Genomic DNA, 24,629 nt, shown 5'->3' on the forward strand with positions numbered 1-24,629 from the left:
CTGAAACAAAACAAAACAAACAAACAAACAAACAAAAGGCTGCCTGTGCTGTGCTGTATACACACACACACACACACACACACGTATATACACAAACAATGGAATATTATTCAATCTTAAAAAAGAAGGAAATCTTTCCATTTGTGATGGCATGGATGAGCCTAGAGGACGTTATGCGAAGTGAAACAAGCCACAGACACAGAAAGGCAAATACTGTGTGATCTCATTCATATCCGGAATCTAAAAACACTGAATTCATAGAAGCAGATAGTAGAAAGGTGGTTACGAGGCGCCGGAAGTGTGGGAAGAGGAGATACTTGTCAAAGAGTAACACTTTCAGTTATAAGATGAATGAATTCTGGAGTTCTACTGTGCAGCATGGTGACCATAGTTAACAATACTCGATTATATACTTGAACTTTGCTAAAAGAATAGATTTTAAGTATTTTCATGACACCACGAAGGTAACCACGTGAGGTGATAGATATATATTAACTGGAATGTATATGTATATCAAATTATCACTTGTATACCTTAAATATATACAATTTTTATTTGTCTGTTATACCTCAATAAAACAGGGGAAATATAAATTTAACATGATAATGAAAAGTACTTTTAAAAAACACACAAAGCTGCCTCAAGTCATAGAACAAGCAGACCTAGCTTTCACCATGACGTCTCTAGGTTTGTTCTTTCAGCCCTGGTTTCCTGTGTGTCTGAAGGCTCACGCCCAGCTGTGGATGTGCTGAGGCTTTGTATGAGGGAAGAGTTTGAACGAGGTGAATATGAGGAACAGGGCAATTTTATGCTTGCAAGCAGCGTTGGGAAAATTGCTTTGTTTGATTTTTAAACCTAAATGGCAAACATGAGAAACCCAGCCTTTGGGATTTATTTTGGACATGACAGGTGTTCCCCGAGTCCTTATGCCACTGCACTGGGTCCAGGTTGGGCCACTCCCAGGCCCACCTCCAGCTGGTGATGCATGCCTGGCAGGGGCCACCTCACACTGTCTGCATCAGTCAGGCACCAGGCTGGAGCCTGAGCCACAGCAGAGCACTGACCCGGGGTTGAGAACCAAGAGACGGGCAGGGGGCGGAAGGCATGGTGGGAATAGGCCTCGCTCAGCAAGCTTTGTTCCCAGAGCTGGGGTGCTGGGGCGGTGTGGACACTGCGCACTGTGGGGTGAGCGCGTTCAGTGCCGATCTCAGGGCAGCGGGCTCACACCCGGCTCCTGGGCTCTAACAGGTGTGGCATAAGAAACTCAGGGCTCCGTGTCAGGAAGGGCCCTTTGGAGAAGCTCGTAAGCAGAGTGTTAAGGGCCCTCTTACGGGGCCTGGAGTCATCTCTGAGTCTTCCCTCACCGGCTCTGTCTGTGTCTCCAGGTTTGGTCATTTCTTTCTCTTGTAAGGGGCAGTTCACTCCTGCCTTTCTGCTGCTTCTGAGACAGAGCCGTGTCCTGGCTGGGTCCTTCCTGACCACGGTCTCCCCAGTCCATCTGTGCCTGTGGCCCCGGTGATTGTCTTAAAATGCTGTTTGGTGGTTACAAGCCCACTCAGCCCCCTTTAGTCCGGACTTCATGCCAGGTTTGCAGTCCCATGGCCCTGCTCATGACCCTGTGAGCCCTGCCCCTCTCTTATTCCTGCACTGTGTTCATTCCTGCTGTTGGCTCTTTGCTTATGGAAGACCGGTCGCCTTCACCATTGGTCTGTCTGTCCGTGAGGGAATGCCGCCTCCTTTCTCATCTGTGGGAGGCTGCAGAGAAGCCCTCATGAAAGGGGCTGCTTCCTCACACATCCTCCACCCCTAGGCTGTCCGGGGGGCCTCACTGTTGCACGCATGGTCGAGCGACCTTTGGCACTGCTATCGCCATGCGTTTCTAGACTCTCGTGGACTTCCTAAGGAGCACTTTTCTAGAATTTATCTTCTGGTTGTTTTACAGGTCTTGGGTGTTCTCACAGGTCAGGACCACACCATCCGTTGAGCCTCCCCACCCGTGTGAAAGGGCGGGAACCCAGGAGCAGTATTGGTTTGTTGGTTGGCATGGGGTCAGGGGTGTAGTGGCCAGTGGCAATGCTTCCACATCACCAGGCTGAAAGGCAGGACGGAGCCGCAGAGCTGGGGAGGCTGCGTAGGGCTATGGGTGTGCGTGGAGCCCTGGAGCCCGAATGCCTGGGTTCATGTCTCCCTCCCCACACATTGTTGCTGTGTACCCCTGAGCAAGTCAAGGGGCTTGGCAGTGTGACCTCCCGGCCGCAGTGTCCTTGTCTATGTGGGCCGACGGAGTCCATGCGGGCCGAGGGAGTCCATGCAGGAAAAGTGCTGAGAGAGGTACCAGCTGAACAGTTAGATTTAGTGAAGGTGAGGTGTCACCACTGTTACTGTTCTTGAGTCTTAAGTTTTCATTAGAATACGTATTAGAATGCATGGTACACTAATAATGGCCATTATTATTGGAGCTAACACTTGTTGGTCACTTAGTTCTGGCTGCTCTTATAGCCAGATTAAGGGTCAGGCAAAGGGCATCAGTAAAGGTCCCTGAAATGTTACTGGGACAAATTGCCAAAGGGATCATTCCAGCTTCCCAAAGGTGGCCAGGGCCTCAAGAGCAAAAGAATACTAGTGACTAATCACTCCTCTGTATCACTGGCCCATTTCTGTGGAGTCTGTGGAGTCTTCTTGCATCAATTCCGTGCCAAGAGGCCTCCAGTGTGGTGGACAAGCTCATGGGTCCTGTGAATGTTCAATGGCAGGAGGAAGGGCACTTCCTAGCACTTTCTTGTTTCTGTTTAGGATCCAAGAAGCCTACCTCTGAATGCACGCTCTCCCCAGCACCACCTTCAGGCCCAGCCCTTCCTCCACCATGGGTCTGCACCATGGGTGGCTGACTGACCATCTCCTTGAGGCTGCTTTGGTCCCCAAAGTCAGGCTGGGACCCTGAGGAAGGGCCTGGATTGGGGGGCCCCATAGAGTCTACATCTGAGTATCTTTTTTTACAATCCTTCCTTCGAAAACTTGCGGATCTCTCCTTTCTTTAGTGCCCCCCCCATTCCTTCTGTTTTCCTCTGTCCTCCCCTTCCTAACCCTCCCCTCCCCTCCCCTCCCTCTCTTCCCCTCTTCTCTTCTTTTTTCCCTCCCCCCCCCCCCCCCCGCCCCAATATCCTATGAAGGCCTCAGAGTCCTGTTAGAAAACACTTCTGGCAGTAACTGTTCCCATCTTTCCTCCTGGGCCCTTCCCTGGGACTCATCTCCCAACCTGATGATGTCTCAGGCTTTCTCCTAAGTAGAGGCTCTGCCCTCCCAACAACTGTCCAAACAAGTTCTCTTCTTCCCTGTCTCGTTTTCCCCTCTTGGTGACCCTGGAGCGAGTCAGAGGGTGGGTTTCTTTTTGTCCAAAAGACAGAGGTTGGCTGGCACTTCCTCAAGGTGCCTGGGAGAAAAGACCGGGATGCCTGGACTTTCTTGGAATTACAGCTGTCCGCTGCTGCTGAGAGGTTTGCTCGAAAGATGTAAATATGGGGGTGTGGGGAGGTGGTGCTGCTCTCTCTCTATCAGAGGCACATCAGGGAACCTCAAATGCTTTTGTGGACGAGACTATCTCTGCGCTGATAAGCACCTTGTTGTTGCTGGGGCCAGATGAAAGATAGTTGTTGAGTTGCAGCTTCAGTATGCTGTTTGTATACTAGAGAAACATCATATCTGTGCGTATTTATAATTTTCCATCTACCACTTGGTCAACAGATCTGATAAGAAGCCCACACTTGAAGGAATTAGCACTAAATGGAATGCTAAACATAGTACCGTAAATGGTCCAAAAAGAGGCCTAGTCAATTATTCAGGAGGGTTATATCAAGGTCTCATAGCGTGTTATCGATTCCCAGTTCTCTTGAAAATGATTTATTTGTCAATTGCCCATGAAGTGACCTTTCTTGTATAGTTTCCGGCTTCTGGGTCTTAGGGCACTTTGGTTTTGTAATTTTAATTTCTCTTCTAAATATTTACGAAGTTAACAAGCAGTTGTTTTAGCTAAAATATCCCGAATTGGAGCCTAGCCCATTGATCTGTCATTTAATAACTCCTGTAGATGAGTATGCATATGCATTTCCATATATACATATAAAGTTAGACCTTTTATAAACTCTGCGTTTATAGTTATTGATTGGCAGTTCATCTCTTTAAATGAAGAGTTTTGGGGACTAGCTCATTTCTGCTGATCTTTACAGGTTTGCTTAAGATCTGTGGGCCCCTCAAAATCCATGGTATCATGGACAAGGTCAGTCGGGTGGTTTGTTGCATGGTGACTGTGGAATTCGAGTTCAGGGAAGGGACCATCTGGCTGGGCTGCCAGCCGGGTCCTACACAGCCCCCTTTGTGTGGCCTTTTGGTCTCATGCACCCAGTATGCAGTGTGTTCTTACCGATGGTGGAAACCTGGCTCTCCCACCTGCCTGCTCTAGGACTCAGGCAAATTGGGTACCTTCTGCAGTATCTGTTTTCTCTTGTGAGATGGGCCCCGATCATGCCACATGAGCAGAGCACGTGAGGGAATCCACCGGGACGGTGTGCTGCAGCCAGCCCAGGCCAGAGCGCCATCCGTGGTTCTTCATGTCACTATGGCAGAGCTCATGAGCCAGCCATCATAGGGAGGGCTTCTTAAAGGCGTTCTTTTTTTCCCTTTTTGGACAAATTGGTAAGATGCTGTAGCTCAAACTGTGTACAAATTTCTGCACGTGTGGGCTGATACTTTGGAAGAATGAAAGAAGGGTTGAGTAATTGGCTCTGGGGAATATTACTGCTGACTGGTGCCATTTTGATGAGTAATAGACCCCATTAGATCACAGTAAAATACTCGATTATGTATAATTAAAGATGGCATTAGTCAGGCAGAAGCCACAGCGTTTAAAAATGTGAAAGGGATAATTTCTAATGCTGAAAAGTGCATTCATGGCTGAAGAAGCAGAGCGTAATGTGTAGTGAATTGAGTTCTGAAGTTACTGGGGCTCGGTCATAGACAGATGCTTGTTTAGCAGGACAGCTGGTGTTCTTTTATTTTTAGGTCTCAAAAATGTGTAGGGACAGCAATCATGGCAGTGTTTTTTTTTAAAAAGTATTTTAGGTGAATTCATGGCTTGTGGAACAATTCTGATTGGTGGTTTTACCCAAAAAAAATCAAGTTCTAGACTTTATTCTTTGTGGAGCAGACAGAGCCCAGGCAAGCTTTGGGAATCTTTGTTTCCCTGTTTGCACTTCTGGCTTTCAACTGCAGATCCCCCTTTCTCTTCTCATTTATTCATTTGCTCTTTCCTTCCTTCAGAGGCTTCAATTGAGTGCCTCATGCAGGCCAGACACTGTTCTGGGCTCTGGGAAGGAGCAGGGAGCCAAGCTGAGACTGGCCTAGGAGCTCACATTGATGGAGTGGGCAGGACTCAGGGCAGGGCCACACTGCTGTCCTTGGTCCACACCCACTGCTTTTATTCGGACTTCTCTAGTCAGACACTAAGAATGTTCTATGGCCCCCCGGGACCCGTTCTCTGGGAGATCCATTGGCTTAGAGCTGAGAAGTCTCTTTGGCTTGACTTGAGCTCCTCTACTCCATTTAATCAAGAGTCAAGTGTCTGGCAGAGACTTTCGTTATTAATAACGTAGCTATTAATATTCACATTGACAGTCATTTGCACTTCTAAACCTCTTTAATCTCAGAGGTTGCCACAGCATTTCATGGACCTCAGATGAATGGCTTCAAAGGAAGGCACAGGGCTCTCTACCATGAGGACCCAAGGGGAATTCGCTTGTTTGACAGAGCAAGTGTGTTAAGGCAGCCGTCCCTGGGTCTTGCATGCAAGGTCCAGCAGGAGGACAGCTGAGCATCTCCCTGCACGTGTCCATTGAGCACCCACATGTCCTTTGGCTCTCTGTGGCAGCAGCAACGTTGCAGAGAGCAAGATAGTCTGGCCTCGTGGTGCTTACGTTCTAATTGGTGCCATGGGGGCTCTATCAAGACGTTGTGAGTAAGTGACAATTGGAAAACCTTAGCTACAGTGGAGATGCTTTGTAGTGCAGGTATTTTTGTACTCCAGTTGGACTTAATTAAGATTAAAATACCAGGGGGTTCTTTTTCTGCTCGTGGATATTTTTTGTCCCAGTGGAAGGTTGAAATCACTTTTTAATTGCAGCTGTGTTCTTTTATTAAACTAGTGGTTCTTGACTTGGGGTGCATGTTGAAGTCCCCTGGGGAACCTCCCCAAACACTGATGTCTGTCTCAGCCCAGGGCCCTGTGATGGGTCTGGGTGCAGCCTGGCATCAGATTCAACGGTCCCCAGGTGATGCCAGTGCTGGGGTGAGCAGCACTGATCTAAACTGCAGAAGGCCAACAAAAGGTGGTGTAGAGGAAGTGGTTGTGAGAGCCAGCACCTGGAGAATCCTGCCAGATCTGCACCTGGAAGATGAGTTGGACATGGCCAGGTAAAGAGGGAGGAAGAGTGTTCCAGCGGAGGGAATGGCAAGCATGGAAGCCTAGGGTCCTGAGGAGCTTGGAGCAAATGAAAGGAGGGGAAGGGTTGGGGGAGGGGGCATGAGGCTGGAGAGGATGGCCGAGGCAGGTGGTACAAGACCATGCTAGGGATTTTTGTCTATAACCTGATGATAGTCGAAGCCATTTTATTTATGAGCCTGGAACTACTCTGCTCATTATTTCACTTAAAAAACAATTTCTTAGAAAAATAGTTTTTTTACAAAAACGAGGAATTCAACTTATTAATTCACTTAGTCTGTTTAACCACACAGTGGGACAGGTATAGATAGGTGCTATGATTACCCCCATTGTGCAGACGGGGAAAGTGAGGCCCAGAGAAGTTGAGTAGCTTGTCACACAGCTGGTGAATCGTGGAGCTGGGATCTGAGCTCAGGCTGCCTCTGGTTCCAGTCTGGCTCTACATTTCTGGGGGATTGGTGCGATGAGCCTCATTTCACAGAGCAGGAAGTGGAGGTGTGGGTTGGGGTTAGAATTCTGTTCTGATCTCCTCAAATCTCACACTGTTACCTCCTTATCAGGCTGTTCAGACTTGGGGAGAAATTAAAAAAAAAGTTTTGTGCTTTTACCATACTATAAATGTGAAAAAAAATATGGGCATATAAGTCAGTGGGAGAGCTTTATGGCTGAACATAAAGAGCATTCAAATAAAGAAGCTAGTTATTTCAAGGTGCTGATGGGGGAAGTCAGGTGGTACCTTTTCCATTGCTGAAACATTGATGAAGGTCGACACTGCTTATGGAGTGCAATGCAAGGGAGAGGCTTTTATGGATAATATTGCATCATTGCACAAAAGCCAACAGCCACACCAATGTATTTGCCCTGCATTTGGTGAGGGGTGGTGGTCCTTGGGTTCTTGCTTATATTTGATGGGTTCTTGATTCACAAAGTGCAATGAATATATTGAAAATATGTGTCCAGTGGCCCAGGACACTGAGGTATCTGTGCTGTCTTCTTGTCCGAGGCTTTTTCATGTTTGTGGGGCTCCATGTTTGTGGCCATGGAAACAGACTGAATACAGAATTTTTTCCTTCCTGGAAATCTGTGCCTACACGTCTCAGAAACATTCATGAAAAGCTAATGGTTTAACAGGTGTTCAAATAAACCATCCTTTGATGGTTCAAATTCCTAATTTTATACTCCAAAGCAGCACCATCCAATACAAATAGAATTTGAGCCACATATTTAATTTAAAAATTTCTGGTAGCCACGTCACAAATGGTAAAAAGAAATTGGTGAAATTAATTTTAAGAATATATTTAACCCACTGTATCCAAAATATGTCGGCATGTAGTTACTATGAAAACTTATTAATTTGCATCCTTTCATCCATGCTGAGCCTGAAGCCCATGTGTATTTCACCCCTGCAGTACATCTGAGGTCACACTTCCCGGTTTCCAGGGCCCAGTAGGCATGTGGTGCCCACAGGTGGCTGCTGTATGGAAAGGCTCAGCTCTGACGGATCAGACCACTTCAGATATCATAATAAAGTTCTGGCACCAGTGCACTTTTTATGACTCTAATAGATTTGCATCTGCAAATTGTGGTTTATAGGCAACAATATGACATTTCCTATGATTTCCGAATTGTCATCATGATAGAATCTGCAGAGGACTGCAGGAATTTTTGGTTTGAAGTTAATATAATAACAGCCTGGAGGGCTTATAAAATGCATGCTGAGAAATTGGTCTGAAACCCAGATTGAGGATATTTTTCATACCCAGCTGATTATTTAAATTTCCCAATGGGAAGTTATTACTTCTCTGACAAGTCTCATCAGCAGTCTATTTTCAGTGGTCTTGATGGACATGGAGTCTAATTTTGTTTTTCTCCTAGCCTCTTTTTGGAGAGGATGAAATTTGGTGTCTGGAATTACATTTCTTCCTAGGAAAAGTGCTCAGCGTCTTAGAAATAAATTATCACAAAACTGTCACCTGTCAGGTGGTTCATTTTCCGAGGTGACAGGCAGTACCTATAATCACGGGAGGTGGGCATGTTCCCCTTGTTGTTGTGGTGTGTCTTTATAGTTGTGGGGAATGTGGGTGGGTGGCCTGCCCTTTCCCTGGTGCATTTGGCAAATCCCTCTTATATTGCTTTTGTTAGCTGACATGTACAGCAAATCAAATAAATAATTCTGGGCTCCGATCTCAAGTTGAGAACGAGAGCATAATAGCCTTGTTCCGGGTGCCTGATGGGCCTACAGTGGCATTACAGCATTCAGAGCGAAAGCTCATTTACTGGAAACAACGAAGTGTTTGAAAGTTCACTGCATGGAAATTGGATTTTTGCCTTTTTATTATTTACATTGTGTATTATCAGATTTATATTTAAAGCTGTGGGGATTATCATTCTCTTTAAACGGCATTATTTAATAAAGAGTAAGCATTTCATGGTTTCAAGACTGCTGAACCCAGCTCATCATTGGAAATTCAATTAATGGGTTCCAACTTGAGTAGGCATGGGCAGAGGGGCGGGGGGGACCCAGTGTCCCCTCCCAGGCCCGATGGCCTGATGGTGGGGTGCCTATCACCGTCTCTCACATGGGCCCTCTCACAGTGAATATCACCTGTCTTTCAAACTTTAAGAGTAAATCTTAGTACTTGCTCCTTGTTCTCGATGGAGGCACGCAATTGAAAGCTTTAATCTCTGGGATGAAAACTTCTGGGAAAGGCAGTACTTTAGTGTGAAGTCATTGTTGTTATGATGCAGCTGAGTTTGAGCCTGTCTTAGAAGCACGTTTTGATGGGCAGAAATGGACCCAGTCTACAGACAAGGGACCATCTGCAAAGACAAGACAGTCACTGTGAAGCTTTTGTCAGAAAACCCATTCCCAATGGAGGGGGAAGGAATCAGTGGGGCAAATATTTCAATGGAACAGAACCAGCATCTAAACTTATGCACTGCAGCGTTCTGCTAAACCCTGCTATGGGTGAGGCTGAATGAGTACATTCATTTCTAATAAAAGAAATTACATTAATTCTTGAAGGGAATGTAGGTGTTTAAGCTGTCACTGGAAACCCATTTCTGAGAAGAAGCTAAAATTGCATGCCTTTTTTTCTCTCTTCTTCTTAGTGATTTAAAAAAATTTGTATTTTTGCTGAGGTTTGGAAAGGCAATTACGCTGATTTTGCCCAAAATTTGGACAGATTAGTTCTGCTGAGAAAGAAGTAACGAAGGTATGAAAGGACATGAAATAACTGAAACTTGCCAGGAGAAATATTAAGGTCAAAAGCAGAGGAAGCATGGGCTCGGCTCAGTGTGCAATGCCTTATCACCGGGTCACCTGCCCCAGGAGGTGGGCCCGACAGATGCCCTGTGTGTGTGGAAGCTGCCGCTGTGAAAGAGTGTGGCATAGTAAAACATGAGATCACCCCAGTTATTTTATTTCTGACACACTGGGAATGAATCTTGATCTAGTCTCCAGGGTGTGTACTTGTCTGCTGTGCGTTTTGTGCTGAGCTGGGTTCTGGTGCATTTTGGCTAAAGCCACATTAACCACCCCCCGACCCCCGATGCCACCATCTTGCTGGAGCTGAGATTTCCTGCAGACCTGCTTCCTGAGGGCTGACTCCTGGTCTCCCACTGCTCTGGGACATTAGCAGTCGGGACTTGCTACACCAGTTGCAGGGCCGAGGACAAAATGAAGTGCAATTATAAAATTATTAAGAATTTCATTACGTGACCACAGAGCATTAAGCCAAATTTGGGCGGCAGCCAAGTGACCTGGTCAGTGATTCTGGTTGGTGGACATGGAACTGCAGACAAGAACCTTCTGTGTTGATGCATCAAAGTATGAACACTGTCAATATGCTGTGGTTGCCAGACTTTTATCTCGTGTGTTTAAAACTGGTTTCTAGAGCTTTGTCTTGGTTAGGGTTCAAAATGTCATCCCTACATGGGGCTCAGCAGATGGGTCTAATCAGGCCTAGCATCCATGTGGTGCTTTCTGTCATTTCTGGCCTCACTTGGGTGACCACATTGGATGGAAGCTGGGAAATGGAGGGACCAAGGAAGGGAGCCCCTGTTTCCCAGCTTGGGTAGGTGATTGGGGTTATCATGGAGGGGGTGGTTTTGGGGAAGCTTCTGGGTAGGGAGTACAGATACACAGAAGGCCCCCCAGCGCTGCTGCCATTGTCTGCCAGTGTTGAAGCTGCAGCATCATGGGCACGGCTCCTGGGAAGGGACCACCAGCCTTTTTGAGGGGCCAGGCCTCGAGGCTTCCTCAGCTGGCTTGAATTCTTCACTGGTGAAGAAACCAAGGCTCCCTAAGTTTGAATTGGCCCTAGTTCATGGCCAGAAGCCCACTGAAGGTCACAGTGCCCTGGGGTCTGTCTTTCTCTTTGTCCTGGCTTCTGGCCTCCAAATGAATACTTTTGGCCTTGCTGTAGTGCTGGCCAGGGTTTGGACAAGGTCAGGTGGGACCAGGGTTTGGACAAGGTCTGTGGGGGGTGATGGTAGGGACTTTGGGCCATCCCTTAGAAGTCTCAGAGTGTATGTGTTTTTGGAGACCTGTGGTGACACCAACCTGCTGCATAGAGCCTTCTGAAGCCCCACTTTCTGCTATGGCCTTGGATTGCCCTAAGGAAATTCTTCGGGAGCAGAGCGAGCTCCAGCTTCCTCAGGTGGCCTTTGGAGAGTGTTGGCTTTCCAAATCACGACTTGTCAAAAGAGGCTTTCCAGATTTCAGGACATGTTGGATTGATAGCCAGCCTTCATAGGAGTCATTTTTCTGTTGGGTTCATAAAATAGAGTGGAGTGTGTTCTGGTGTGCTCATGGAAGCTGGGGCTCTGGCCTCCCTCCGGGCCAGGGCAAGGGTTCCATGAGCCACATAAAGGCATTTTGCAAACTACAACTTGCTATGCTGATGTTCGGTGGTGTTCGGCATTTTGCAAACTACAACTTGCTATGCTGATGTTCAGTGGTGTTCTCATCCATGGGCACCTTGCATCTATGCCTATTTTATAGTATTTGTGGAATAATTTTCCCATTTTAAGTGATTATAGAGTTGGAAGTTGGATCTTTGTTTTGTTTTGTTTTAGAGATGGAGTCTCGCTCTGTTGCCCAGGCTGGAATGCAGTGGTGGGATCTTGGCTCACTGCAAGCTCCGCCTCCTGAGTTCACCTGCCATTCTCCTGCCTCGGCCTCCCGAGTAGCTGGGACTACAGGCGCCCACCACCACGCCTGGCTAATTTTTGTATTTTTAGTAGAGATGGGGTTTCACGGTGTTAGCCAGGGTGGTCTCGATCTCCTGACCTCGTGATCCGCCTGCCTCAGCCTCCCAAAGTGCTGGGATTACAGGCCTGAGCCACCGTGCCTGGCCGGATCTTTGTTTTGATGACACAATTTTGGCTATTTGTGATTTATTTCAAGCAGTGCCTGGCCTGTAACTCCATCTTGAATTGTAACACTGTTCCCATGGGAACTTTGATAGGGTTTCTAGCAGTACTTGAGAACAAAAAGGGAGTTCCCACATCCTGCCAATGTTGATCATAGCACACGTGCTGGTGTGTGTGAATAACGTAGAATGGAAGATGTTCCAGAACTAGGTGGTCAGCCTTCAAACTGCTAAAGCTTTGTTATAACTATTTTGGTAGCTGTCTTTCCAAGATGGTCATATGTATTGTAACAAGTGCTGTATTGGATCGGGCTAAGGTTTCCTTGGCAACTCAGGATCATTCTGCATGCTGTCACTGAGCTCTGCAGGGATTCTCTGGGGCCCCAGAGCCCCATGCTTCCCACTGGGGTCATTTTGCCCCTGCCTGAAATCACCCGTACTTTGGGAAGCTGGGTCCTCTCCTCTTTGGCTGCCACTTTGCAGGATGCTGCCTGCTTGCTAGCCATCCTCCCAATTTCTGCATTGTCTGATTTGCAGTCCATCTCAGCAGTTTGGAGCTCAGCTTCTTAACTCAGTGAATTAGCACTCGGTGTTGAGTTGTGGGTTGAGGGGGCTGGCAGTGCTGCCTTGGCTCACACACAGTCCAACCACCAGAGATCGAGTTGCTATCTCATCTTCAGTGTTTTCTCCGCCCCTCGCATCTTCCCCTGCTGGGACTGTGCTTTCTCTCCTAGATGGTGATCTTGCTGGAGAAGGAAGTATCCACTCGGGTGTTTGTTTCTGAACTTTTGAGTGATTCAGGGGAGAGGATACACTAAGGGATGAATTTTAAGGTTTTTTTTTTTTTGAGATGAAGTTTTGCTCTTGTTGTCCAGGCTGGAGTGCAGTGGTGCAATCTTGGCTCACTGCAGCCTTTACCTCCTGAGTTCAAGCGATTCTTCTGCCTCAGCCTTCTGAGTAGCTGAGATTACAGGTGTCCACCACTACACCTGGCTAATTTTTGTATTTTTAGTAGAGATGGGGTTTCACCATGTTGGCCAGGCTGGTCACGAACTCCTGACCTCAGGTGATCTCGCCTCGGCCTCCCAAAGTGCTGGGATTACAGGCATGAGCCACCGTGCCCGGCCTGAATTTTAAGTTTTTTAAAAAGGGATGTGAAGGGTTGTTGTAGGAGATAGAAACGTAGGCTCTCTGCTGACCTGATTGCCAGTTTAAAACTAGACCTACTCACAGAACTGAGGAATAGAGGAGGCAGCTTGTGATTTATTGCTAATGGCTAATGGAGGCAGTTAATGCTTTCTTTCCAGTTCAAATACTATTTCTTATTTAAAGACTACCAATAAGGTTAATAAAGGTTTTTATTTCCCTCTGAAATCACACATAAATGACATATTACTCCAGGTCATTTTTCCATCATAGGATTTGCATCATCTGACTGTGGGAAGGGCTCTCCTTGGTAAACACAGGTGGCTCCAGGCTCATAGCACCCCACAGGACCTTCTTAGGTTTTAGGATGAGAGCACTTGAATTTGATGTCCCAGAGTGTTAGAATGTTATCAGAGGGGATCATAGTATTGACTGGGGATATTCACCGTCTCTTCTACTCCTCAGCTCTGCTGGTAGGTCTAGTTTTAAACTTGCAGTCAGGCCAGCAGAGAGCCCGCATTCCTGTCTCCTACAGTGATCCTTCACAGCACCTTTTTAAAAACTTAAAATTCAATATTGCATTACAAATATTGCATTCGCTTTATAGACTCCCACGTGCCATCCATAAAAATCATTTAAAAAGGTGAATATGTGTAATGTTGCCTTGAATATAAATGACATTTTCAATCTGTAAAAATAAAATATCTGCATTTCCATACTCTCTGGACACCCTCTGGATCTGAAACTGGCCTTAGAGATAATCTCATTGGGTCTTCAAGAACATATGAGGAAAAAGATTTCCTTGGTCTCATCTGGTTGTTAAAAGAAGGAGATTGGAACTTGGGCTTCCTGAATCCCAGTCTAGTGTGCTTCCTAGCCACCTGAAAGGGATATAAAGATGTGATTCAGTTGGTTACTGAGCTGCCTGTTTTATCACCTACAATTGAATTTAATAGGATCATCCTGAGATGCCATACAAATTTCTTGATGTCATCAACAGGGACTTTGCCCTCATCATCCAGAGGGTAAAAGGACACCTTTATCAGGATTGAGGATTGTATGGGAGGAGCACTGCAAAGCATGTCCAGGATTAAGGCCACACAGCTCTCCTAGGAGACCCTCAGGATGGCTTTTCTCTGTGGCAGCTGCTCGTGTTTGATTTGCAGGCCGCTAATACAAATCCACTGTTTAGTGACGAGGGAGTACTTGCCTTACTAGTAAGTAACCCTCCTTGAGCCCGTGGTATGTTCTAGTTCTGGGCTGCGTGCTTCAATTGCACTGTGTCATCTGGCTCCTGAGCCTGGAGCTGGACTCCCATTTTACAGACAAGCAAACAGAGGTGGCAAGAGGGTCCCATAGCTAGTAAGGTGCCAAGACAGGACTGTGACCCAGGCATGTCAGACTTCAAAACACACGACTGCAAGCTGTGCTGGGAAATGATTGCTCTGGGGAGGACACTGTCCTCAGGCTCCTGTGGATGACTGACAGGAAGTCCAGGGCCACCTCCAGGCTCCCGGTTGCCACTTGTCTCTTTCTGGTACAGGTGAATCAGTGATGGCTTTGGGGACTCCCTCAACGCTTAGGTGTCCTCTTCTCTCATCCTGGGGAGAATCCAGTGTGTAAGTGCAGGAGTCTGCATGGCTTGCCTTCGTGGGTCATTGGGCACCATCCTGGGGGGCAGGTTCAGCTGAGGGCAGGTTCAGTCCCCCAAGGCTCAGCCACTTCATCCTTCACACTGAAAGATGCCTTGGCTGGGGGAGCTGGATGGTGTCATGTCCAGAGGCGCTCAGGGCTGTCTGACTTGCAGACAGAGGGTCTTCACCTCGCTGCCTGGGATGATAAGGCTTGTGTCTCAGGACTTTGAGGCTTGAGGGATCTAAGTCGTGAGAGCATCCCTATTTCTTCTGATAAGAGATTTGAGGATTTCTGAGAATCAGATGTAATTATGCCACATCATGGATGAATGTTTTAACACATATTCTGGAAGTTGCTAAGTGTTTCTTTCAAAGCAAGTAGCAATGGCTGATTCCCGAGTGTGCACTCTGGACCAGCCCTGGTCTACATGCTTTATGTGTAAAAGTTCAGTGTGTCCTTATGACAAGCCAGCCAGCTGTGAAGTCAAGGCGGGTGGATCACCTGAGGTCAGGAGTTAGAGACCAGCTTGGCAAACATGGTGAAACCCTGTTTCTACTAAAAATACAAAAAATTAGCTGGGTGTGGTGGCACACGCCTGTAATCCCAGCTACTTGGGAGGCTGAGGCAGGAGAATTGGTTGAACCCAGGAGGCAGAGGGTGCAGTGAACCCAGATCGCACCACTGCACTCCAGCCTGGGCGACAGAGTGAGATTCGGTCTCAAAACAAAGAAACAAAAAGGTGCCCTTACACAGTGTTCACCCATGAGAAGGGGACTCAGGTACAGAGCAGGGTCTGAGCCGTGGTGCCAGGCTCTGCTTTGAGCTTCCCCTCCCTGTGCTCTGCTGCTGGCCTTCCTGCATGGGCTCTATCCCGGCGCAGCTGCCTCTCTCTCAGGACCGCTGCTGTACCGCGGTTTCCTCGTCCTGCCGAGAGGGTGCTGCCTGCCCTGCCCAGCCCCAGGGCGAGGGTGTATGCGTGCAGAAGGGACTTGGGAACCAGGGCGGGCATGAGGCTGTTGGCATTTCTGTAACGGAGGCCTCCTGCATTACTGTGGATTTTAGTGGGGGAAGAATTGGCTTGTTTTACAAGTCAGCTTTCCTTGTTAATGAGCTTTCCTTGTTGCTCACAGCTTATTGTCCATGTAGTGAGTACAGTTGAGAAATCTGGCTGTTATTTATGACAGGGGTACCCAATCCCTGGGCCATGGACTGATACCAGTCTGTGCCCTGTTAGGAACTGGGTTGCACAGCAGGAGGTGAGTGGCGGGAGAGCGAGCAAAGCTATAGCTGTATTTACATCAGCTCCCATCACTCCCATTACCGCTTGATTTCCATCTTTTGTCTGATCAGATTCTCACAGGAGCACAAACCTTATTGTGAACTGCACATGCGGGGGATTTAGGTTTCACACTCCTTATGAGAATCTAACGCCTCATGATCTGTCACTGTCTTCCGTCACCCTCAGATGAGACTGTCTAGTTGCAGAAAAGCAAACTCATGGCTCCAACTGATTCTACATTATGGTGAGTTGTATAATTATTTAATTCTATATTACAATGTAATAATAATAGAAATAAAGTGCACAATAAATGTGATGCGCTTGAATCATCCCAAAACCATCTCCCCGCCAGGTCCATGGAAAAGTCATCTTCCATGAAACCAGTCCTTGGTGCCAAAAAGGTTGGAGACTGCTGATTTATGACATTATCAGTCAATTTATGGGCCCAGAGTGTCAGACCTGGGCCAGGATCTGCATGGGCCAGGTGTCACCAGGAAGTCACTCTCTGCCCTCAGGAAGCTGAGGGTCTTGTGGGATGAACAGCCAGGTCAGTCGGTAGCTGCTGAGCAGGGTGACCCATGGAGTGTGACAGACAGGCATGAGGTTGCTGCCCAAGACAGAGGAGGCCAGAGAGGGCTTTCTTGGGGTGCAGCCCATGCTTTGTTGGGTGAGAAGGCAAGAAACACATTTGTGTGCCCAAAGCAGGGCAGGGCTAAAGTTGGAAATGGAAATGAAGGAGCAGGTAGCCATGCAGCCTTGTGCTTTCCAGCAACAGGGTGGACACTTGGTCCCAAGAGGACGCAGCTGAAAGACCCTCTGGCAGGGAGAACGTGTGAGGACTCTGTGGTGGATTCTGAGTTGTGCCTCTCTGGCTTAATCTCATCTGATTCTAGCAGTAACTCCAAGAGGTAAGCACATTTGTGAGTCCTGTTTTCCAATGGAAAAGCTACATGAGGCCCACCAGGTCCCAGAACTCAACAATGGTGGGGCTGGGGTTCAAAGCCAAGATCTCTGACTGCAGGGGCTGTGCTCTCAGCCTGTCCCTGCTCCTACTCTGGGAGCTGGTCTGGAAGGGTTTGGGGACTGGCTGAGAAATGTGAACATCCCCAGGGGCTGAGGCGTGATGCTGGAAGAGGTGCATTTGGGGACAGTCATATCCAGCTGTAATGGACAGGGCCAGGAGAGGCTGCAAGGCTGCAGGTGGGCCACTGTGGCAGGAGTTGTTTGAGTGTCTGGGGATTAGAGGATTAGAGCCTCAACCAGGGGTGTGGCTGAGAGGAGGGCGTGGCAGGGGCTCAGAGAGGTGGGGGATCCCTGGGAGAACTGAGCCTGGCACTAGCTTGGATGTGAAGGCTGTGAGAGATGGAGAGGCAGAAGTAGGTGAGGGTGCTTGTGATCACAAGGCAATCGACTGTTCATTTAGAAGAGAAGCCGTTTGAGGCTTCCTGATGTATCCTTGTTACTAGGCATAAAGCATGAGCAATGCCAACAAGACTGGTTCTTTCGGAACAATAGTTAAATCCTGGGGGCAGGTGAGAGGTGGGGAATCCCCACCTTATAAGTCAGGCACGAGTATGCAGTGATGAGTTGAGTTTAGTTCAGGGTGCTACAGAGTTAGGAGTGTGTAGGAAGACAAGGTGGGGCTAAGTGTGGTATGCACGGGTTTCTCTCTCCCACCTACCAGCTGGGTGACTCCAGGAAGAGGGGCAGCCTCCTGAGCCTTCGTTTCCTTTCTGTCCAGTGGGAATGTGATGCTTCCTGATGGTCTGTTCTTCCCCTGTACACCCTCCCTGGAGCATGGTTGGGTGACGTGCATTACATATCGTAAGGCGATGTTTCCTGGGGAGGGGAACATGTCTTAGTCTAGCACCTACCTAAGTCTGTGGAAGTTAATAAAGAAAAAAAAGGTTTATTTGGGTCACAATTCTGCTGACTGGAAGACTGGGCAACTGGCAAGGGTCTCAGGCTACTTCTGCTTGTGGAAGGCGAAGGGGAGCTGGTGTGCAGAGATCATACAGTGAGAGAGGAAGCCGGGAGCAGGACATGCCAGGCTTTTTGTAACAACCAGCTCTCAGGGGAACTAGTAGAGCAAGAGCTCACTCACCACCACCCCCAGGGAGGGCATTAATCTATTCATAGGGGATGCAAATACCTCCCATCGGGCCCCGTCCAACATTGGGGATCACATTTTAATACAAGGTTTGGGGGACAAATATCCAAACTATAGCCTATCACCTATCACTCAGTGGTGCCTCCTGGGGAGGGGAGGGTTGGGGGCTGTGTATCTTATATGTCGCAGGTGTCTAAAGCGTAGATGGTGTCAGAAAGTACTTCCCCTCCTCCAGCCCCCTCCTTGGGATGTGTCCTCAGGATCTAGAGGGAGTTTATGGATGCTGATTTGGGAATTCTGCTGGCTGGCAGAGACAGGAGCTGAGGATGGACACCTGCTTGTTTTCCTTTACAAATGCTTTGGCTCTAACATTGACCTGGAAAGACGCCAGGACAGATACCATGGACCTTACTTTATGTGTGCCTAGGCTTGATCTCCTTAGAAAGTCTCACTGAAGACAAGTGGTGGTGGAGCATCTCAGCAGAGCTGTTAAAATTCCTAAAAGGCGCTGGTGTAAATACAGCTACTGCGAGAAGTTGCTCTGACACGTAAGCCCTCAGAGAGCCGGGCCTCTCTCATTTTTCCCCTCTTAGGGCTCCTCAACCTTTTTTAAATTTATTTATTTATTTTTAATTTTTTTTATTATACTTTAAGTTTTAGGGTACATGTGCACAACGTGCAGGCTTGTTACCTATGTATACATGTGCCATGTTGGTGTGCTGCACCCATTAACTTGTCATTTAACATTAGTCCCTACAAAGGACATGAACTCATCATTTTTTATGGCTGCATAGTATTCCATGGTGTATATGTGCCACATTTGCTTAATCCAGTCTATCATTGTTGGACATTTGGGTTGGTTCCAAGTCTTTGCTGTTGTGAATAGTGCCACAATAAACATACGTGTGCATGTGTCTTTATAGCTGCATGATTTATAATCCTTTGGGTATATACCCAATAATGGGATGGCTGGGTCAAATGGTATTTCTAGTTCTAGATCCCCGAGGAATCACCTTTTAACAATGAGAATAATGTTTAGCCCCTTGGCTGGGTCCTTTTCTCACCTTGGTATTGCAGGGTTAGAGATGATTACCAAAAAAACCACCTCTTGGTTTTTGGCTTGGTGGTAAGAGCCTCTTGGCTGATGCCTTTCAAGATAGCTGAAATTGTCACCTCTCCAAGGGATTTGCACCCTCTCTGACTGAGGGACTCCTTTGATTTGGAGGGAAAAGTCCCCCAAAGTCTGTATAGTGATAGCTGGGGCACTGATCCCGCCAAATAGGAGGCTGAAGTTGAGAATAATAGAGCCTTGTTGACCTTGGCAGCTTTTCCACAGTGGAATTGCAGGACCCAGCAAGGAGATCCCACAGAGTCTGAGAACTGAGCTCACCCCCGAGGCGGGAATAGGAACTCGCGGGCAGCTTTGGCACAAGCCCAGAACTATTTTTGGTGTGTGGTGTGTTGACTGTAGGGCTCTGCCATTTGTTTCTTCTCTAATGAAACAGGTGATTACCGTGTTGAAAGAAAGGAAATTGCAAGTGCAAGTTTAAGGGCCATCAAAGGGCGGACTGGAGTTCTCAATAGATTAACCAAGAGCAAATATTCTTTTTTTTTTTTTTTTTTTTTTTTTTGAGACGGAGTCTCGCTCTGTCGCCCAGGCTGGAGTGCAGTGGCGGGATCTCGGCTCACTGCAAGCTCCGCCTCCCGGGTTCACGCCATTCTCCTGCCTCAGCCTCCCAAGTAGCTGGGACTACAGGCGCCCGCCACTACGCCCGGCTAATTTTTTTGTATTTTTAGTAGAGACGGGGTTTCACCGTTTTAGCCGGGATGGTCTCGATCTCCTGACCTCGTGATCCGCCCGCCTCGGCCTCCCAAAGTGCTGGGATTACAGGCGTGAGCCACCGCGCCTGGCCGCAAATATTCTTAAGCTTGGAGACTTCACGATTCCACAGTGAGTAACTGGAATCGCCATCCTGTGTGCAGTCGGCAGCTCAGGATAAGAATGAAACTTCTTAATAATGGCTCTGCTTCCCTCCAAACAATGTGTTTTCCATGATCTCTCTGGTCTATTACCAACTATTTGTGGTTGGACCAAGTATGAATGAAAGAATGCACTTAGAGTTTGATAGATGGGCTAGGACTGGTTTCAGTTTTGTGATCTGGATATGTTTTTGCTTCTTGATGTCCTTCCCTTCCCCCTACATCCTCTCCAGGGCTTTAGTTTGTTTGTTACAATGAGATTCTACATGATTTTTGTATTTATAAATTTGCTTCTAAGGTGAACCCCACTGGCTGTGGGGGATGGAGGAGGCCTACTCTTCTCTTGTGTCTGTTAAATCCTTAAGGAATTATTTTTGGTCCAGGAAAACTCTGATGCCTCTCTCTTTTTTTTTTCTTTTACTTTTTTTAAAGAGTTGGGGCCTTGCTCTGTTGCCCAGGCTGAAGTGCAGTAACATGACTGATCATAACTCACTGCGGCCTCGGCCTCCTGGGCTCAAGTGATCCTCCCACCTCAGCCTCCCTGAGTAGCTAGGACTACAGCACAGGCTGCAACCCCTGGCTAATTTTTAAAAATTTTGTTAGAGATGGGGTCTTGCTGTGTTGCTCAGGCTGGTTCCAAACTCTTGGCCTCAAGCAGTTCTCCTGCCTCAGCTTCCTGAGTAGCTGGGACTACAGCTGTGAGCCACAGTATTTGGCCCTATTTAATTTTATTTTTCTGTAGACTCTTCGGCCAAGCCTGGCTGTTTCCCAGTTTACAGCTAGTATTTACTCTTCTACCCATTCAAACTTTCACCTTTTCTAGAACTCAGCCAGGCAGCAATGTGATGGTAAAGGTGTAAAAATTGGATCTTTGGGAGGGGGAAAAAAGAGCACTTACTTGTATCAACTGCCAGTTTCCAAGGTGTAAATACTCCCATCATGATCAATCAGGCTACCAATGTGATATCACCTGGCTTGCAGAACCTCTGCAATTTAATAGTCAGCCCTGGCAAGCTGGCAAAAACTGCCACTGGCACCCTATTGAGCCAGGAAGTGAGTTTCTAACTTCCCCTTTCTTCCTGTTTCTAATCAAGGCTGCAAGTTCCTTTAGGGTTTCAAAGGCACTTATGGATGATGGTCATGACACTACAACTGGACCATTGCAAATAAAAATGACAATGGGGAGGTCGTAATTGTTTTTCTTTTTAAAGCCTCTTCTTAGTCATCGTCTTCCTTGGAATATAAATGAGGAAGGCCAGTTTCCTTCACGGAATCATTTTCCATCTCTGTTGGCAGTGGGCCTGGACAGAATTCTGTGTTCTTACTCCCAGGGCTAGTTGTTCCTGGCTTCCCCCCTCCTTTAGTAAGGACAAATGAACTTAGGTCATCAACTTGCTGCCTAAGCCACATTAAATCATCACCCTCAAAAGCTGAGGGAAGACTGTGCTAATCCTGCAAAGAAGTCTTTACTAGGTGTATCAAGAAGGTTCAGAGTCATTTTGCAGGAAAGAGTAACTGCTGGTGCTACTGGCAGGGCCACTGTTTGCGTTTTCTCATTCCCTCCCTCATCCTTCCTGCTGCAAACAGGAGATGTTGGCGGATGCTGTCCATTGACAGGGTGGTTGGAGAAATGAGGATGGTGTGCTCAGAGACCCCACCACCCCTGCTAGAAGGAAAGTTAAGTTTGGATGGAAGGGGAATAGAGAGAAGTCTTAAGACAGGAGCTGTCAAACTATGACCAGCAGTAGTTGGGACCCAGCTACACTTGCTCACAGATGCCTTGTCTGTGGGGGACTGTGTGGCCAGCAAAACCCAGAACATTTTGACCCTTGACAGACATTGCCAACTCTGCCTTAGAGCACTGTGCTGCACTGACCACAGGAGTGAAAAGGCCACACTTGGAGCCCACATAGCAGGTCCCCCATGGCCTGGTGGTATGGACGAGTGGGGAGGCTTTCTGCTGCCCCCACTCTCCCCACTCAGATCCTTCTTTTTTTTAGTTACTTAAGAATCATCATTTAGCATGAGTGTGTTAAATGAGTTTATTTCAGCACATTTCAGTGCATCTGTGACTCACCCTAGACATTCAGTGCTCTACGTGTGCCCAGGCTGGATGCCTGTGCAAGAAGACCATGTTGTTTGTGACATGGGTGGTCACTAGTTTTATGTTTTAGTGTCTGACTTTAGCTCTGTCTTCCTTTCCTTTTTTTCCCGCTGCTATTGCATTATTCATTTTTCCTTTTCCCCCAGTTTGCTGCTCATTCTGTAGATACATACCTTGGTGAGCCTCACTGGAGAGCTGTGGCACCTTTCAGAGTGGAGACTGGTGGGGGCAGAGCTTAGGAATGGGTCAGGCACAAAGAAGTAGTGCAGACTTCTTAATATGGTTGGCTTTTTCCCTCAGTGCTCAGTGTTTCAAAGGAAAGATGCAGGCCAGGCACGGTGGCTTATGCCTGTCATCCCAGCACTTTGGGAGGCTGAGGCAGGTGGATCACGAGGTCAGGAGATCGAGACCATCCTGGCCAACATAGTGAAACCCCATTTCTACTAAAAATAAAAAAATTAGCCGAGTGTGGTGGTGTGTGCCTGTAGTCCCAGCTACTTGGGAGGCTGAGGCAGGAGAATCACTTGAACGTGGGAGGCGGAGGTTGTGGTGAGCTGAGATTGTGCCACTGTACTCCAGCCTGGTGACAGAAAAAAAAAAAAAAAGAAAGAAAGATGCCCTTCACCTCTATGTCAAGCTCATTGGTAGTGTTACAGCTCTCTCTGCTCAATGTCAGCCATGCTGAGTCATGGAAGAGTCAGTAAGAAAAGATTATTCAGAAAAAATTTACAGAAAATATTTTGAGACATTCCAGTGAGGGAGTGAAGGGGAGAAGTCCTGAGCAGAAGGAATCGAGGGAGCAGAAAATAAAGACCTGAAGTTCTTTTTCAAAGCAATTTGGAATGTCTTCTTCCTTTTTCCACATCTTATTGGTGATTGCCATAGGTTCTGGCATCTAGCTTCAGTTTTCAACTATATAGGTTAAAACTGTAAGTACAAAACTATACTTAAGTATAAAACTATAATCCCCCATATATGATTTTAACAAGATTTTTAAGCTATACATTATACTTAGGGCTTACTACTTTAAAACATGCCATTACTGTGTTTATGCATGCAACATGATGCATCCATAAATCTACCTTCTTGTAAAAGGGCCATCCCCTTTGCCTCCAGCAAGCTAAGTAGCTTGAGCAATGCTAAAAGAACAATACACACCACTCATCGGTGTCCCGTGGGAATACCATGGAGGTCAGGCCAGTGGGAACCCAGAAGTTAAATTAATAGCAGAACTGCTTCAGGAGTAGTTCTAGTAAGTGTTCTTTATGATATGGTTCCTGGCATATGGGATTTCATTTTTCCATTTTTTCCAGAACCAGGATAGCCATATTTTTAAAAAGGATGATGGCGGAGAAAAGTGGCATTTTTAGACCAAAATGTAGCTACCAATTTATGTAGCTGCTTGACAAATCATAGGTACAGGAGATGCGGTAGAACCAATTAGAACAAGACTTCTCAGCACTTGCAGGTGGAACATGAATTGAATTATTAGCTCTCTCTGATGCCTGGACCATATTTGATATAAAAGTATTGGGGAGACTTGAAGGTTTATATCCTGGCAAGGGGTGATGATTGGTAGAAATAACCCCCAGGCTAGGAGAGCTGGTGTCTTATTCATTATTTCCTGTTTTACATTGTATTTCCCCAGTCATCCCCCATTGGTATTGTTTAGTGTCTGAATTCTTTTATTTAATTCATTTATTTATTTAGTTGTTTATTTTTGAGACAGTGTTGCTCTGTCACCCAGGCTGGAGTGCAGCGGCACGATCTCGGCTCACTGCAACCTCAGCTTCCTGGGTTCAAGCGATTCTCCTACTTCAGCCTCCCGAGTAGCTGGGACTACAGACACCTGTCACCACGCCTGGCTAATTTTTTGTATTTTTAGTAGAGGTGGGATTGCGCCATGTTAGCCAGGATGGTCTTGATCTCCTGACCTTGTGATCCACCCACCTCAGCCTCCCAAAGTGCTGGGATTACAGGCGTGAGCCACTGCACCCAGCCTAGTGTCTGAATTCTCTCCACTTGACCGTAAGCTTCATCAGGTAAGGAGCTATAGTTGTGTTTATTGTTGTATCTTTCACATGTAGAGAAACATTTATTAAATGTTGAACATAGTGATACAAGGTGATCTCTCTAAATGTGGCATGGGAGGGAAGCCTGTTCTGTGCAAAGTCTCTGTGGGACTTTCATTTACTAAAATGAAATCATCCTACACACCCAATTAAGACAGGGCTTTTATGATGCGTTGAGTGCCTCCTTGTTAGGCTTAAATTGTGTGCTTTCAGGAAGCCAAAACAGCAATGAAGACTGTGATTTGCAAACATTGCATCATTGGGTTACAAATTCAGAGCTTTTCTGGAGAGATCAAAACTATACATTTTCACCACCTGATGGGGTCTGACTGTTGGGAAATGACATTCCTGTTCTTGCATTATTTCTGGTCATTTGGTGAGTGATCTCAGAGTGCAGGGCTGTCTTTGTTCAGAACCCAGCTATCAGGAGTGAGATGA

General features: G+C 47.0%; 2 protein-coding genes across 3 annotated transcripts in view, besides 1 other annotated feature; both read left to right on the top strand.

Annotated features, from left to right (window-relative positions):
* Window positions 1-24,629, top strand: part of RANBP2 (RAN binding protein 2) — a 1,122,820-nt gene that overhangs the window by 424,269 nt on the left and 673,922 nt on the right. The window lies entirely within an intron of this gene.
* Window positions 1-24,629, top strand: part of SH3RF3 (SH3 domain containing ring finger 3) — a 375,430-nt gene that overhangs the window by 14,546 nt on the left and 336,255 nt on the right. The window lies entirely within an intron of this gene.
* Window positions 5,831-5,880: a silencer, noted in NCBI's record as "silent region_11858". NCBI's record gives its function as "represses an Ori minimal core promoter by ATAC-STARR-seq in GM12878 lymphoblastoid cells {active_cell/tissue: GM12878}" and the evidence as "EXISTENCE:reporter gene assay evidence [ECO:0000049][PMID:35858748]".

This window comes from Homo sapiens, chromosome 2 (assembly GCF_000001405.40).
Source record: "Homo sapiens chromosome 2, GRCh38.p14 Primary Assembly".
In the NCBI taxonomy this organism is placed as follows: Eukaryota; Metazoa; Chordata; class Mammalia; order Primates; family Hominidae; genus Homo; species Homo sapiens.